Source organism: Homo sapiens, chromosome 9, assembly GCF_000001405.40.
Source record: "Homo sapiens chromosome 9, GRCh38.p14 Primary Assembly".
Lineage (NCBI taxonomy): Eukaryota > Metazoa > Chordata > Mammalia > Primates > Hominidae > Homo > Homo sapiens.
The window spans coordinates 92,695,645-92,711,286 of NC_000009.12; the positions used below are offsets into that span (position 1 = coordinate 92,695,645).

The window sequence follows — 15,642 nt, forward strand, 5'->3', positions numbered from 1 at the left end:
TAAGTTGAATGTTTACAGCAATTTATCCATTTCTTCTAGGTTTTCTAGTTTGTGTGCATAGAGATGTTCATAATACTTTCTGAGGGTTTCTTGTATTTCAGTGAGGCCAGTGGTAATGTCACCGTTGTCATTTCTGATTGTGTTTCTTTGGATCTTCTCTCTCTTTTTTTCTTTATCAGTCTAGCTAGAGGTCTATGAGTCTCATTTTTTTTTTCACCATAAACATATATCATTTTTATTTGACAATTAAAATAAGTTAATTAATTGATAATAATAATAAAATTGAGTATAGTAGCTCAGTCATTCACTCCTTGTACTTTTTGACTCTATCTTCTTCAGAGAGGACAAATTCAGCACTGTTCTTGGCTGTGAGATCAATAGCGCTCCACTGCAGGGAAGACCTATGGGTTACATGTCTGTCCACACCTGGGGTTTACTCTCTTTTTTTTTATTATACTTTAAGTTTTAGGGTACATGTGCACAACGTGCAGGTTAGTTACATATGTATACATGTGCCATGTTGGTGTGCTGCACCCATTAACTCGTTATTTAACATTAGGTATATCTCCTAATGCTATCCCTCCCCCCTCCCCCCACCCCACAACAGGCCCGGGTGTGTGATGTTCCCCTTCCTGTGTCCATGTGTTCTCATTGTTCAATTCCCACCTGTGAGTGAGAACATGCGGTGTTTGGTTTTTTGTCCTTGCGATAGTATTTCAAAGAACCAACTTTTGGTTTCATTGATCTTTTGTATGGGTTTTCACATGTCAACTTTGTTCAGTTCAGCTCTCATTTTAGTTATTTTTCTTCTGCTGGCTTTAGGGTTGGTTTGCTCTTGTTTTTCTAGTTCCTCTAAGTGTGATGTTAGGTTGTTAATTTGAGATCTTTCTGACTTTTTGATGTGGGTGCTCACAGCTATAAACTTTCCTCTTACCACTGCTTTAGCTGTGTCCCAGATATTCTGGTATGTTGCATCCTTGTTTTCAATAGTTTCAAAGAGTTTCTTGATTTCTGCTTTAATTTCATTCTTTACCCAAAGTCATTCAGGAGCCAGTGGTTTAATTTCCATATATGGTATTGAGAGATCTTCTTGTTTTTAATTTCTATTTTTATTGCACTGTGGTTGAGAGTGTGGTTGGTTTGTTTTTTTTTTAACTTGTTGAGAATTGCTTTATGGCTGAGTGTGCAGTCAATCTTAAGAGTATGTGCCATGTGTACATAAGAACAGAAAAACGTATATTCTGTTGTTGGGTGGAGCATTCTGTAGATGTCTGTCAGGTGCATTTGGTGAAGTGTTGAGTTTAGGTCCCAAATACCTTTATTAGTTTTCTGTCTCAATGTTCTGTCCAACACTGTCAGTAGGGTGTTGAAGTCCCCTACTATTATTATGTGGTTATTTAAGTCTCTTTGTAGGTCTCTAATAATTTGTTTTATGAATCTGGGTGCTCCAATTTGGGATGCATATATATTTAGGATAGTTGAATTGAACTCTTTATCATTAATGGAATGTCCTTCTTTGTCCTCTTTGAGCATTGTTGGTTTATATTTTGTCTGAAGTAAGAATAGTAACTCTTGTTCTTTTTCGTTTTCTCTTTGCTTCACAGATCTTTCTCCATTGCTTTACTTTGGGCTTATGAGTGTCATGCATATAAGATGGGTCTCTCTCTTTTTAAATTCTTTCACTATGTTGCCTAGGCTGGTCTTCAACTCTTGGGCTCAAGTGATCCTCCTGCTTTGTCCTCCTAAAGTGCTGGGATTAGAGATGTGAGCCACCACTCCTAGCCAAGAGATGGGTCTCTTGAAGACAGCATACAGTTGGGTCTTGCTTCTTTATCCAACTTGCCACTCTGTGCCTTTTAAGTGGGATGTTTTCTCATTTACATTCAAGGTTAATATTGATATGTGAGGATTTGATCCAGTCATGTTGTCAACTGGTTGTTACACAGACTTGATTGTATAGTTGCTTTATAGTGTCAGTGGACTATGTGTTTTTATGGTGGCAGGCAACAGTCTTTTGTTTTGTATTCCATATTTAGCACTCCCTTAAGGACCTCTTGTAAGGCAGTCTGGTAATAATGAATTTCCTTAGTGTTTGCTTGTGTAAAAAGGATTTTATTTATCCTTTGCTTATGAAGCTTAATTTAGCTGGATATGACATTCTTGGTTGGAATTTTGTTTCTTTAAGGATGCTGAATATATTTCCCCAATCTCTTCTTGTTTGTAAGGCTTCTGCTGAAAAGTCTACTATTAGCCTGATGGGGTTCCCGTTGTATGTGACCTGCCCCTTCTCTCTAGCTGCCTTTAACATTTCTTCTTTTGTGTTGACCTCAGAGAATCTACTGAGTATGTGTCTTGGGGATGGTTGCCTGATACAGTATCTTTCTAGGGTGCTCCAAATTTCCTGAATTTGCATGCCAGTCTCTCTACTGAGGTTGAGGAAATTTTGGGGCCAATATCCTCAAATATGTTTTCCAAGTTGCTTGCTCTCTCTTTCTGAGATGCCAATCGATTATAGGTTTGGTCTCTTTACATAATCCCATATTTCTCAGAGGCTTTGCTCATTAAAATTTTTTCTTCATTTTTGTCTGAGTTGATTTGAAGAACTAATCTGTGAGCTCTGAGATTCTTTCCTCAGGTTGGTCTATTCTGCTGTTAATACTTCTGATTGTATTATGAACTTATAGCAAGTTTTTCAGCTCTAGATCAGTTTGATTCTTTCTAAAATGGCTATTTCATCTTTCAGCTCTTGTATGATTTTGTTGGATTCCTTAGATTCCTTGGATTGGCTTTCACCTTCCTCCTGAATCTCAATGATCTTTATTGCCATCCAGATTCTGAATTCTATGTCATTTCAGCTATTTCAGTCTGACTAAGGACCATTGCTGGGGATCTAATATGGTTGTTTGGAGTTAAGAAGACGTTCTGGCTGTTAGAGTTGCCAGAGTTCTTCCACTGGTTCTTTCTCATCTGTGTGGGGTGATGTTCACTTAATGTTTGAAGCTGCTGTCCTTTGAATGGAGCTTTTTGCTTTTATATTCTTTGATGTGCTTGAGGGTTGAACTATGGTATAAGTTGGGTTTAGTCAATTGGCTTTGTTTCTGGATGATTTCATGGGGCCAAGACTCAGCTCTGCACTCCCAGGCTGAGTGCTCTAAACCTGGGGGTGCTGGGACCAGACCTGCAGCCTTTTTCTCTGGCCCCACTAGGTTAAGAATCTGCTGCACTGGTGGGGCTGAGGTTTTCCCAGTCTCCTGCCAAAAACACCCTTATGGAGGGGGGCTGGCAAAAGTGATTCCATGGGGCACTGATGGGGTGACAGGGGTCCCCACATGTGCACACTAGAGGCAGGGCAGTGGTGGGTCTCACACACATGCACCAGTAGCATGTCCCACTTGTGGCATGCATATTTTTCAGGATTTTCCATGTACAGCTGACCCTTGAACAATGCAGAAGTTAGGGATGCCAACCCCTGCCCCTGCAATCAAGTTAAAAATCCACATACAACTTTTGACTCCTCGAAATCTTAACTGGAAGCCTTAATGATAATATAAACAGTTGATTAACACATATTTTCTGTTATATGTGTCATATGCTGTATTCTTACAATAAAGTGATCTAGAGAAAAGAAAATGTTATTAAGGTTATAAAGAAAATACATTTATAGTAATGTATAATATTTATCAATACCATAAGTTTACAATGTCTGTTTGCAAGATGAAGCATTATGGTGGGCAACTGCAATCGCAGACCTCAATCTATAGTACATATTAAGCAATTCAACTTTTTCTTGTAACGTCATGACTTTTCTCTGCTTCTTGGGAGAACTTTCAGCATCATTGGTGGCATTTCATATGGGTCTCAAGGTGTTATTCAAGGTTTATGGTATTGGACCAAACATGATGAAAAATATGTGAAATATGTGAAAACTGTGAAAGACCACTTTTTTCTCTGATACTTTACTGGAGAGATGAACTGCTCACACAGAGGTGATTAGCATCAGATGGCATTTTAAGCAGACAATCAAAACACATAAGTTCACTGCAATAGAAAGGGAGGTGGCTATGAAATTATTACAATAGTACAGTATGCACTACAGTTAATCTTATGCCATTATGATTTAATACTGCATCTTTAAGTTTGTTTATATTTCTCTTGACTGAATGACACCATGTACAGTCTTTGTGTGCATACGTTTTGGTAAAGTTTATGTTTGTGTATATTTTATGGTAGTCAATTATAAAATAAACTAATATCAGCATATATTTTAGGCATTCATGACATATCTTTTACTTAAGTTTTTCAATATTTCTAAACTACATGGTCTGCCTGTGAGATTTTGCAAATTGTCACAAATCACCAAAAAAATTTTCCAATATATTTATTGAAAAACATCCATGTATTGTGGCCAGGCTCAGTGGCTCATGTCGGTAATCCCAACACTTTGGGAGGCTTAGGCAGGTGGATCGCTTAAGCTCAGGAGTTCAAGACCAGCCTGGGCAACATGGTGAAACCCCATCTCTTCAAAAAAATACAAAAACTAGCTGGGCACGGTGGCGTGGGCCTGTAGAGACTCAGGAGGCTGAGGCAGGAGGATGGCTTGAGCCCAGGAGATGGAGGTTGCAGTGAGCCGAGATTGTGCCACTGTACTATAGCCTAGGCGAAAGAGCCAACCCTGTCTCAAAAAAAAAAAAAAAAAAAAGCAAGCCAGGCACAGTGACTCAGGCCTGTAATCCCAGCAGTTTAAGAGTCTGAGGCAGGTGGATCACTTGAGGCCAGGAGTTCGAGGCAAGCTTGGGCAACGTGGTGAAACCCTGCCTCTACAAAAAATACAAAAATTAGCCAGGCATGGTGGCATACACCTGTGGTCCCAACTACTCAGGAGGCTGAGGTGTAAGAATCACTTGAGCCTGGGAGGCAGAGGTTGCAGTGAGCTGTGATTATGCCACTGTACTACAGCCTGCGTGACAAAATGAGACCCTGTCTCAAAAAAAAAAAAAAAAAAAGTCACTGCCATTCCCCAGGTCATTTAGATTTTCTATATTTTCTAAGAGTTGTACAGTTCTGCATTTTGCATTTAGGTCTGTAATCCATGTTGAGTAATTCTTTATGAAGAATATGAGGTCTTTGCCTAAAATCATTTTTTGCATGTGGAAGACCAGTTGTTCCAGCACCATTTGTTAAAAAGATTGTCTTTTCTCTTCTATACTTCCTTTGTTCCTTTCTCAAAGATCAGTTGACTATAGTTGTGTGGGTCTATTTCTAGGCTCTCTATTCTGTTTGTCTATGCTTTTGCCAATACCACACTGACCATTCTATCTTGATTACTGTAGTTTTATAGTCTTTAAGACATGTAGTATCAGGCCTTTAGCTTTGTTCCTCTCCTTCAATATTGAGTTGTCTATTCTCTCCATATGAACTTTAGAATTAGTGCGTCAATATCCACAAAATAACTTGCTCTGATTTTGATTGGGATTATATTGATTGTACAAATCAAGTTAAAGATTGACATTGTGACAATACTGAGTATTCCTACCAATGAATACAAAAGATCTGTATTTTTTTCTGATTTCTTTAATCAGTTTTCTAGTTTTCCTCATATAGATCTTTCCTCATATAGATCTAACATATTTTGTTAGATTTATACCTAATTATTTCATTTGGGGGGATAGTAATGTAAATGGTGTTATGTTTTTAATTGCAAATTCCACTTGTCCATTGCTGGTATATAGGAAAGCAATTGATTTTTATATACCTTGTATCCTACTGTTGGCCTATAATTGCTTATTAGTTCCAGGGGGTTTTTGTTGTTGTTTATTCTTTCAGATTTTCTATATAAACAATTATGTCATCTGCATATGACAGTTTTATTTCTTCCTTCTCAATCTGGATACCATTTATTTACTTATTGTTTATTTATTTGTTGAGACAGGGTCACCCAGGCTGAAGTGCAATGGTGGGACTACAGGTGCGTGCCACCATGCCCAGATAATTTTTGTATCTTTTGTAGAGACAGGGTTTCACTATGCTGCCCAGGCTGGTCTCGAATTCCTGGGTTGAAGCAATCTGCCCAAACTACTGTGATTACAGGCATGAGCCAGTGTCCCCAGCCCCTCTCCCCCTTTTTTGGGTCTTACCACATTAGCTAGGATTTCCAGTAGAATACTGAAAAGAACTGGTGACAGGGGACATCCTTGCCTTTGTTCCTCATCTTAATGGGAAAACTTGAGGTCTCTCACCATTAATTATGATGTTAGTTGTATTTTGCTGATGTTCTTTTTATGAAATTGAAGAAGTTCCCCTCTATTCCTAGTTTGCTGAGAGTTTTTCTTTTTAATCATAAATGGGGTTGGATTTTGTCAAATGCCTTTTCTGCATTTATTGATAGGATAGGGTGATTTTTCTTCTTTACCCTGTTTATGTGATGGATTACATGAATTGATTTTCCAATTTTGATACAGCTTTGCATACCTGGGATAAATTCCCCTTGGTCATAGAGCATAATTCTTTTTACACATTTTTGGATTTGATTTGCTAATATTTTGTTGAGGACTTTTGCATCTTTGTTCATTAGAAATACTGGTTTGTCCTTTTCTTTTCTGTTAATGTCTTTGTCTGGTTTTGGTAATAGGACAATGCTGGCTTCATAGAAAGTGTTAGGAAGTTTCCCCTCTGTTTCTATCTTCTGGAACAGACTGTAGAGGATTGGTATAATTTTTTCCTTAAATGTGTGGTAGATGCCAGGCGTGGTGGCTCACGCCTGTAATCCCAACACTTTGAGAGGCCAAGACGGGCAGATCAGTTGAGGTCAGGAGTTTGAGACCAGCCTGGCCCAACATGGTGAAACGCTGTCTCTACTAAAAATACAAAAATTAGCCGGGCGTGGTGGTGTGTGCCTATAATCCCAGCTACTCAGGAAGCTGAGGCAGGAGAATTACTTGAACCCAGGAGGTGGAGGTTCTAGTGAGCCGAGATCGCGCCACTGCACTCCAGCCTGGGCATAAAGAGCGAAACTCCGTCTCAAAAAAAAAAAAAGTGTGGTAGAATTCACTGGTAAACCCATGTGGGCCTTGCACTTATGTTCTGAAAGTTATTGATTACTGATTTAATTTTTTTAATAGATATAGGCCCATTATCTATTTCTTCTTGTGTTCTGGCAGATTCAGTCTTTCAAAAAATGGGTCTATTTCATGTAGGTTATTGAATTTGTGGGCACAGACTTGTTCATAGTATTCCTTTATTATTCTTTTGATGTCCATGTGATCTGCAGGGATGTCCCCTTGTTCATTTCTGACATTTGTAGTTTGTCTTTTTTCTCAATTAGCTTGAATAGAAGTTTTCCATTTAAAAAAAATTTTTACCAGCCAGGTGCGGTGGCTCACGCCGGTAACCCCAGCACTCTGGGAGGCTGAGGCGGGCGGATCACAAGGTCAGGAGATCGAGACCATCCTGGCTGACACGGTGAAACCCCATCTTTACTAAAAAAAAAAAAAAAAAAAAAAAAAAAAAAATTAGCCAGGCATAGTGGCGGGCGCCTTTAGTCCCAGCTACTGGGTAGGCTGAGGCAGGAAAATGGCATGAACCCAGGAGGCGGAGCTTGCAGTGAGTCGAGATCATGCGACTGCACTCCAGCCTGGTTGACAGAACGAGACTCTCAAAAAAAAAAAATCTTTTCAAAGAGCTAACTTTGGGTCTCATTGATTTTTTTTTCCTGTTTCCAATTTCATTGATTTCTGCTCTACTTTTTCTTTTCTTCTGCTTACCATAGATCTAAAATTGTTCTTTTCCTACCTTCCTAAAGTAGGTGTGTATTCATTTTACATCTTTTTTCTTTTCTTTTCTTTTCTTTTTGTTTTTTTTGAGATGGAGTCTCGCTCTGTCACCCAGGCTGGAGTGCAGTGGCGCAATCTCGGCTCACTGCAAGCTCCAACTCCCAGGTTCACACCATTCTCCTGCCTCAGCCTCCCGAGTAGCTGGGACTACAGGCGCCCACCACCACGCCCGGCTAATTTTTTTGCATTTTTAGTAGAGACGGGGTTTCACCGTGTTAGCCAGGATGGTCTCGATCTCCTGACCTCGTGATCCGCCCGCCTGAGCCTCCCAAAGTGCTGGGATTACAGGCGTGAGCCACTGCGCCCGGCCATCTTTTTTCTTTTCTAATATGTGCAACCCAATAGAATACATTTCCCTCAATGCACTGCTTTAGCCGTATTCTAAACTTTTAAGTTGTACTTTCATCTTCATTTAGTTCAAAGTATTTTAAAATTTATCTTGAGATTTCTTCTGTGATTATGTACTATTCAGATTTATGTTGTTTCACCTCCAAGTATTGGGGGACTTTCCAGCTATCTTTCTGTTGATTTCTAGTTTAATTCTTCTGTGATTCTGGGAGCAGACATTTCATGATTTCTTTCCTTTTCAATTTATGAAGGTGTGTCTTATGGCCCAGATATGGTATATCTTAGTGAATGTCCCACGTGAGCTTGACAAGAAAGTGTATTCAGCTTCTATTGGATCAAGCCGTCTAAGTCAATTATATCAAGTTGATTGATGGTGTTGAGCTCAACGATGTCCTTACTGATTTTTTTTGCTTACCGGATCTGTTCATTTCTGATAGAGCAGTGCTGAAGATTCCACCTATAACAGTTAATTTGTCTGTTTTTCCTTGCAGTTCTAAGAGTTTTTACCTTATGTATTTTGGCACTGTACAGTTAGGTGCGTCCACATAAAGGACTGTTGCCTACTTGAGGAACTGATCCTGTTCTCATTATGTAATGCCCCTCTTTATTGCTGATAACTTTCCTTGCTCTAAGTCTGCTCTAAAATAATATAGCTACTCCCAGTTTCTTTGATTAGCATTAGTATGGTATACCTTTCCCCATCCCTTAACTTTTAATTGATACCTATCTTTATATTTAAAGTAGGTTTCTTGTAGACAACTGCTGTGGTTTGAATGTGGTCTGTTCCTGCCAAAACTCGTGTTGAAATTTGATCCTCAACGTGACACTGTTGGGATGTGGGGACTAGTGGGAGGTAGGTATTTGGGTCATAGGAGTAGACCCATCATAAACAGATTAATGCCCTTCTCTGGGGGTGTGTTCTTGCTTGGGTGGGAATAGATTAGTTTCCTTGAGAGTGGGTTGCTGAAATCTGGCTTCCTTAGTTTCTCTCTCTTGCTTCTCCTCTTAATGTGTAATCCCTTTGTACATGCCAACTCTCTGCCATGAGTTGAAGCAGCCTAAGGCCCCCAACAGATGTGGCTGCCCAATCTTGAACCTTCCAGCCATCAGAATTGTGGGCCAAATACCTGAATACCAGAATACTGAGGCCCAGCCTCAGGCATTCATTGTTATAACAACACAAAATGGACTGAGATAACAACATATAGTCTTGCTTTTTCATCCACTTTGAAATTTTTTTTTTTTTTTTGAGATGGAGACTCACTCTGTTGCCCAGGCTGGAGTGCAGTGGTGCAATCTCAGCTCACTGCAACCTCCACCTCCCAGGTTCAAGTGATTCTCTTGCCTCACCCTCCTGAGTAGCTGGGATTACAGGCACGCACCACCACACCCAGCTGATTTTTGTATTTTTAATAGAGACGGGTTTCACCATATTGCCAGGCTGGTCATGAACTCCTGACTTCAAGTGATCCACTCACCTTGGCCTCCCAAAGTGCTGGGATTATAGGTGTGAGCCACCGTGCCCGGCCAACAATCTTTTTATTATCCTTTTTCTTTCTGTAAGGTCATTATTAATGACCCCACTCTCATTCTTGATTTTAGCATTTACACCATTGATGTTTAAAGTGATAACTGATAAGGCTGGATTAATTTCTACCATTTGTTACTGTCTTCTATTGTTGTCCTTATTCTTTGTTTCTACTTTTATTTTCCACCTTTTCTTTTTTGCTTTTTGTGGTTTTAATTGGGCATTTCATAAGTGTCTTAGTCCATTAGAGCATAAAAACAAAATAGACTGGCTTAGAAACATCAGAAGTTTATTTCTTTCTTTGTTTTTTTTTTGAGATGGAGTCTCGCTCTGTTGCCCAGGCTGGAGTGCAGTGGCGCGATCTCGGCTCACTGCAAGCTCTGCCTCCCGGGTTCACGCCATTCTCCTGTCTCAGCCTCCCCAGTAGCTGGGACTACAGGTGCCCACCACCATGCCCGGCTAATTTTTATATTTTTAGTAGAGACGGGGTTTCACTGTGTTAGCCAGGATGGTCGCGATCTCCTGACCTCGTGATCCGCCCACTTCCGCCTCCCAAAGTGCTGGGATTACAGGCGTGAGCCACTGCACCCGGCCCCGAAGTTTATTTCTAGCATTTCTGGAGGATGGGAAATCCAAAATCAAGGTGCCAGCAGACCTGGCTCACTTCTTGGGGCATAGAAAGTCATCTTTTCACTGTAACTTCAGATGGTGGAAGGGAAGAGCAACCTCTCTAGGTTTTGTTTTGTTTTTGTTGTTGCTGTTGGTTTTAAATAAAGACACTTTTCTCATCACGACAGCTCTGACCTCATGACCTAATCACCACCTAAAGGCTCCACTTTGTAATCCTAGCACTTTTGGGGTTAGAATTTCAACATATGAATTTTGAGGGAACACATTTAGACCCCTAGCATTCCACTCTTGCTCCCCTCAAATTCATGTCTATGTCACAAGCAAAATACATTAATTCCATCCCAATAGCCCCCAAACTCTTAAAACATTCCAGCACCAACTCCAAAATCTCCAGTTCAGAGTTTCATCTAAATCAGATATAGGTGAGACTGAAAGTATGACTCATTCTGAGGTAAACTGCTCTCTAGCAGTGAAACAAACATGTTCTGTGCTTCCAAAATACAATGGTGGGATGGGCATAGGATAGATATTTCCATTTTAAAAGGGAGAAATAGGAAAGAAGAAAACAGTGACTGGTCCCAAGTAAGTCTGAAACCCAACAGAGGAAACAACATGAAATGTTACGGCTTGAGAATAATCATTGGCTCAATGTTCTGCCCTCCAGGCCCACTAAGGTGATAGTGCCACCTTCAGGACACAATGTGGTAGCAGCCCTGCCCCGTGGCTTTGGGTGGCCTTGCCCCTGAGGCAGCCATGTGCTTGTGCCTTGCTCCTGCCTCCACAGTAGCTCTGTGCCTGGGTCATGCATCTGAGGCTCTCCTGGAAACCACCACTGGTGACTCTACTGGTCTGGACTCATGGGCCTAGTGGGGGCCCTCTGTAGTGGCCCTTCCCCAACAGTGATTCTCCGTCTCAGCCCCATGGCTCTCTTGGGGCATCCTTTTAATTCTGGGGGAAGGCAGCCATGCCCCCACATCTTTCTACTCAGGGCCCGTGATGGGATGGGTAGCTGTGATGATCTCAGAAATGCCTTTGGGGTCATTCTTCCATTGCCTTAAAAATTAGGTCCTCGCTTCTGTTTATAGATGGCAGACCAATCTTTCTCTTAACACCTGGCTTTCCCTGAGATGGTCAATCCATACTAATCACCTCATCAAAGAGTTACTTGGCCAGACCCTTTCCTCCTGAACAAGGTTTTTCATTTTTTCCAATATGGATTGGCTGAGTTTTCCAAATTTCTGAGTTCTGCTTCCCTTTTGATCAACAATTCTAAATTATCTTTCTTCTCTCATTTTACTATAAACAATTCAAAGGAACCAGGCTGCCCCTTCAACACTTTGCTCAGAAATAGCTCCAGCTAAAGATCTAAGCTTGCAGTGAGCCAAGATCGTGCCACTGCACTCCAGCCTGGGCGACAGAGCGAGACTCCGTCTAAAAACAAAACAAACAAACAAAAAGACCTAATCACTCACAGGGCTACCTGCCGCAAAACACTAGAACACAAACACAATTCAGCCAATTTCTTTGCTGCTTCATAACAAAGATGGCCTTTCTTACTGCTTCCAGTAATAGGTTCTTCACAGAGTTCTCTGTATCTGTCTTTTCAATTTTTGGTACAGTGATTTGGCCTGTGAGCTCACTTCTCTGATAGATCTTTAAAAAGTTGCTTTTTCTGTTTGTTTAGCTTTTCCCTTGTTAGGATGGAGTAATGAATTCTAAGCACCTTACATACCAGCACAGAAACTGAAATTCCTGTTGGAAGATTTTTGATTACTGAGTCAGTCTTTTGTTATATGCCTATTATTTATTTCCTTTAGAGTCAGTTTTGGGAGTTTGTGTGATTCTAGTGATTTGGCATTTCATCAAGTGTACCTATGTTTTTTAGCATTGTTATATTTTCTCATAATCCTTTTTCTTTCTGTAAGGTCATTATTAATGTCCCCACTCTCATTCCTGATTTAGTAATTTGATCATGTTTTTCTTGAACAGTCTAGATAAAGGTTTGCCATTGGCTGTTTATCTTTTTAAGGAAACAACTTTTGGGTTTGTTGGTTTTCTCTCCTGATTTTCTATTTCATTTATATCCACTCTAATCTTTACTAGTTCCTCCCCTCTGCTTACTTTGGGTTTAGATGATCCGATATTGTTGCTACGTAATTGTTCATTGTATGCTTGTACTCCTTAATACTTCTGTAAAATCAGTAGTAATGTCACAATTTTATTTTTTATTTTAGTAACTTTTTTTCTTGTTCTACCTAAAGGTTTGTCAGTTTTGTTTATCTTTTGCCATTTTCCCCCATCCCTATTTCATTTATCGCTGTTGTAATCTTTACTATTTCCTTCTTGCTGCTTGCTTTGGGCTGTTTCTCTTTTTCTAGTTTTTTAAGGTTGGGAGGTTAGGTTATTTTTCAGATCTCTCTACCTTTTGTATGATATCTTCTTTGACTCCTTGTTTATTAGGAAGTATGTTGTTTTATTTCCACATATTTGTAAATTTCCCAAATCTCCTTGTTATTTCTAACTTTATTCCACTGTCACTGGAGACTATAACTTGTATAATTCCAATCGTCTTACATTTATTGAGACTTGTTTTGTTGCTTAAAACGGGTTCTAGACTGGAGAATGTTACATATGCATTTAATATGTATTCTGTTCGGAGTGTTCTATAGATGTCTATTAGCTCTAACTGTCTTATAGTCCTGTTCAAGTATTGTATTTCTTTTCTGATCTTGTCTTGTTTTTCTAGCCATTATTAAAAGTGGGGTATTGAAACTCCCACCGTTGTTGAACTATTTCTCCCTTTAATTTGGCCAAGTTTTGCTTCACATATTTTGGGGTTCCTGTTTGGTGCATATATGTGTATGGCTGTTGTATCTTCCTGGTGAATTGACTCTTATCATTACATGATGTCCTCCTTTGCCTTGCATAATAATTTCTGCCTTAAAGTCAATTTGGTCCAACATTAGCATAGCCACCACCTGTGCTCTTCTTTGGTTACTGTTGTATGGGGTATCTTTTTCCATCCTTTTACTCTTGTGTCTTTCAATCTAAAATGAGACACCTCTAAACACACAGTTGGATCATGGTGTGCTAAATCAATGCAGTTTTTTGTTAAGAAAATCTATCAAAGCTCCATGTGTCTATTGTATGCTTCCACTTACAAGTACAGAAATAGGCAAAAGTGGCCTGCATTGACAGAGTCAGGGAGTTAGCCCTGGGAGGAGCGGGTGCAGAAAACATCAGGACTTCTGGGGGATATCCTCACTTGCCTTTCCTCTGAGTGCTGGCTACACAGTGTGACAGTATTTAGTTTGCAAAAATCCAGTTGGCCAGTGGACACTTTTATTTGCACTTTAATGTATGTGTGCTAAATTTCACAAAAACTTTGATGAAGCAAACCTGATGTGGCATGTCTGTTCTCCTAGGAGGCTTTGTGGGAAGAAGGCAGCCCAGTGACTCACCAGGACTAGCAGACACCCTATTAATTTGTGCTGATGAAGGATAAATACTCCCCAAAAAGCATACCTGAGGGTAGGGGTGGAGAACTTTGGGGTTACTAGTTACATAGCTGTGTTCACTGTGTGCAAATTTGGCCTGTATACTAGGATGTGCACACTTTCCTGGATGCAAATTACACTCTGTTAATAAGTTGGCTTAAAATTATATTCCCCAAAGGACAAAGACCTAGATACATGGCCTTGTGTCCAAAGCACTGGTGATGATGATGACAGTAAGAACCATATTAGCACCAATCATCAATTGAGTACCTGCTGCATGCTGGTACCAAGGGCTTGATGAAGCTTCACAACCACCTATACAAGAGGCACTATTTTGTCCCCACCTAACAGATAGGGAAGTTGAGGCTCAGAGAGCTAAGGCAGCCAGCTACCAAACGGTGGTGATTCAATCATCAGTCCGGCTCTCAAGTCCATGCTGTTGTTTCCAGCTCTAGTAATCTGCCGGGAAGTAGGGGTGAAAACACTGCGGGGAGATGGAAGATGCAGAAGAAATGCAGACCACCCTCTCCCAGAGGGAAGGCTGAGCAGAAGGCCTTTCAGCATGGACTGTCCCCCTCTGCAAGCTCCTGAGACCCCACCCACTCAAGAGGCTGCCGCTCCATCCTTGAAACTGAAGACTGTGTTCAAGGACCCAGAAGATGAGGATGGGGGAGGGCAGACTCAGTGTCTGGATACCTGTGCCAATCAAATACACCACCAGGCAGAAGTGAGCCAGGCCACACTGGGCCATGCACAAGTGTGGGAGTGGAAGGCACAGACACTGTCCCTGTAAAGAAGCCTGCCCCACAGGGCCCTGACGCTTTACACCTCCCTTCTCCTTGAGGTTCTTCTAGATCAGTTCAGGGCTTTCTTTTCAACCTTTTCCAGGAGTTGGACAACTGCCTCTTTTACTCCATCAGAAAGAATGGTTTAAACTGAAAACAAGTCCCAACAGCTGCTACTAAAGCAGAATAGTATCATCAAAGGCTGGAGGTTCTGCAGTGACAGTGAAACTAGGAAAGGTGGTATGGCAGTGAGACTGCAGTCAGATGGAGGGGTCCTGGGGAAGGGGCATGGCAGCAAGACCCTAGCCTGAGACGGCTTTCCAGAGGGAAGCCCTACATGAGTGAAGCCACACAGGCCTGACTGAGGCTGTCGGACTAGGAGGTGGCAGGAGTGTGTCCTGGTATTTACTGTCCCCTTGACTAGACACTGTCCCCTTTTCTCACACCCACAAGCAACCATATGAACGTGCCCACTGTATATTTGTACATATTCCTACAGACAAATGTGATTCCTGGGTTCAGAGAGTGAGAGTTTAGACAGCAAAGGATTCTACATCATCTGAATCCCTGCCTCCTCATCAGGATAGCATAGGCTACTCCTAGTTTTAGTCTATGTATACACAATGTGTTCTTACCAACATGCTGCTGTGGCTTCAAACCTGATGCTGCACTTCAGAAGACCCTTGAGGACAGAGTTATGAGGCGTCAGGGCCCTGGGGGGCAGGCATCTTTCCAGGGGGGGGCATTGTCTGTGCCCTCCACTCCACTCATGTGCGTGGCCCAGTGTGGCCTGGCTCACTTCTGCCTGGTGGTGTATTTGATTGGCACAAGCACCCAGACACCAACTCTACCCTTTCCCTACCCTCATCTTCTGGGTCCTTGAACACATTCTTGTTTCAGGGATGGAGTGACAGCCTCCCCACATATACATGACCCCTCCCCATTCTCCTGAAGGTGGACCCCAGGCTGCTTCCAGTTCCCACTACCAGGGTTACCTGATAGGCTTGTTGCTGTTGTTGTTTGAG

At 41.2% G+C, this 15,642-nt stretch overlaps 1 annotated feature.

Moving 5' to 3' along the window:
- Positions 2,519 to 2,688: an enhancer, noted in NCBI's record as "experimental_109806 CRE fragment used in MPRA reporter constructs". NCBI's record gives its function as "activates a minimal promoter by MPRAs in K562 erythroleukemia cells, with activity observed for the introgressed 9:95460530 variant allele {active_cell/tissue: K562}" and the evidence as "EXISTENCE:reporter gene assay evidence [ECO:0000049][PMID:34662402]".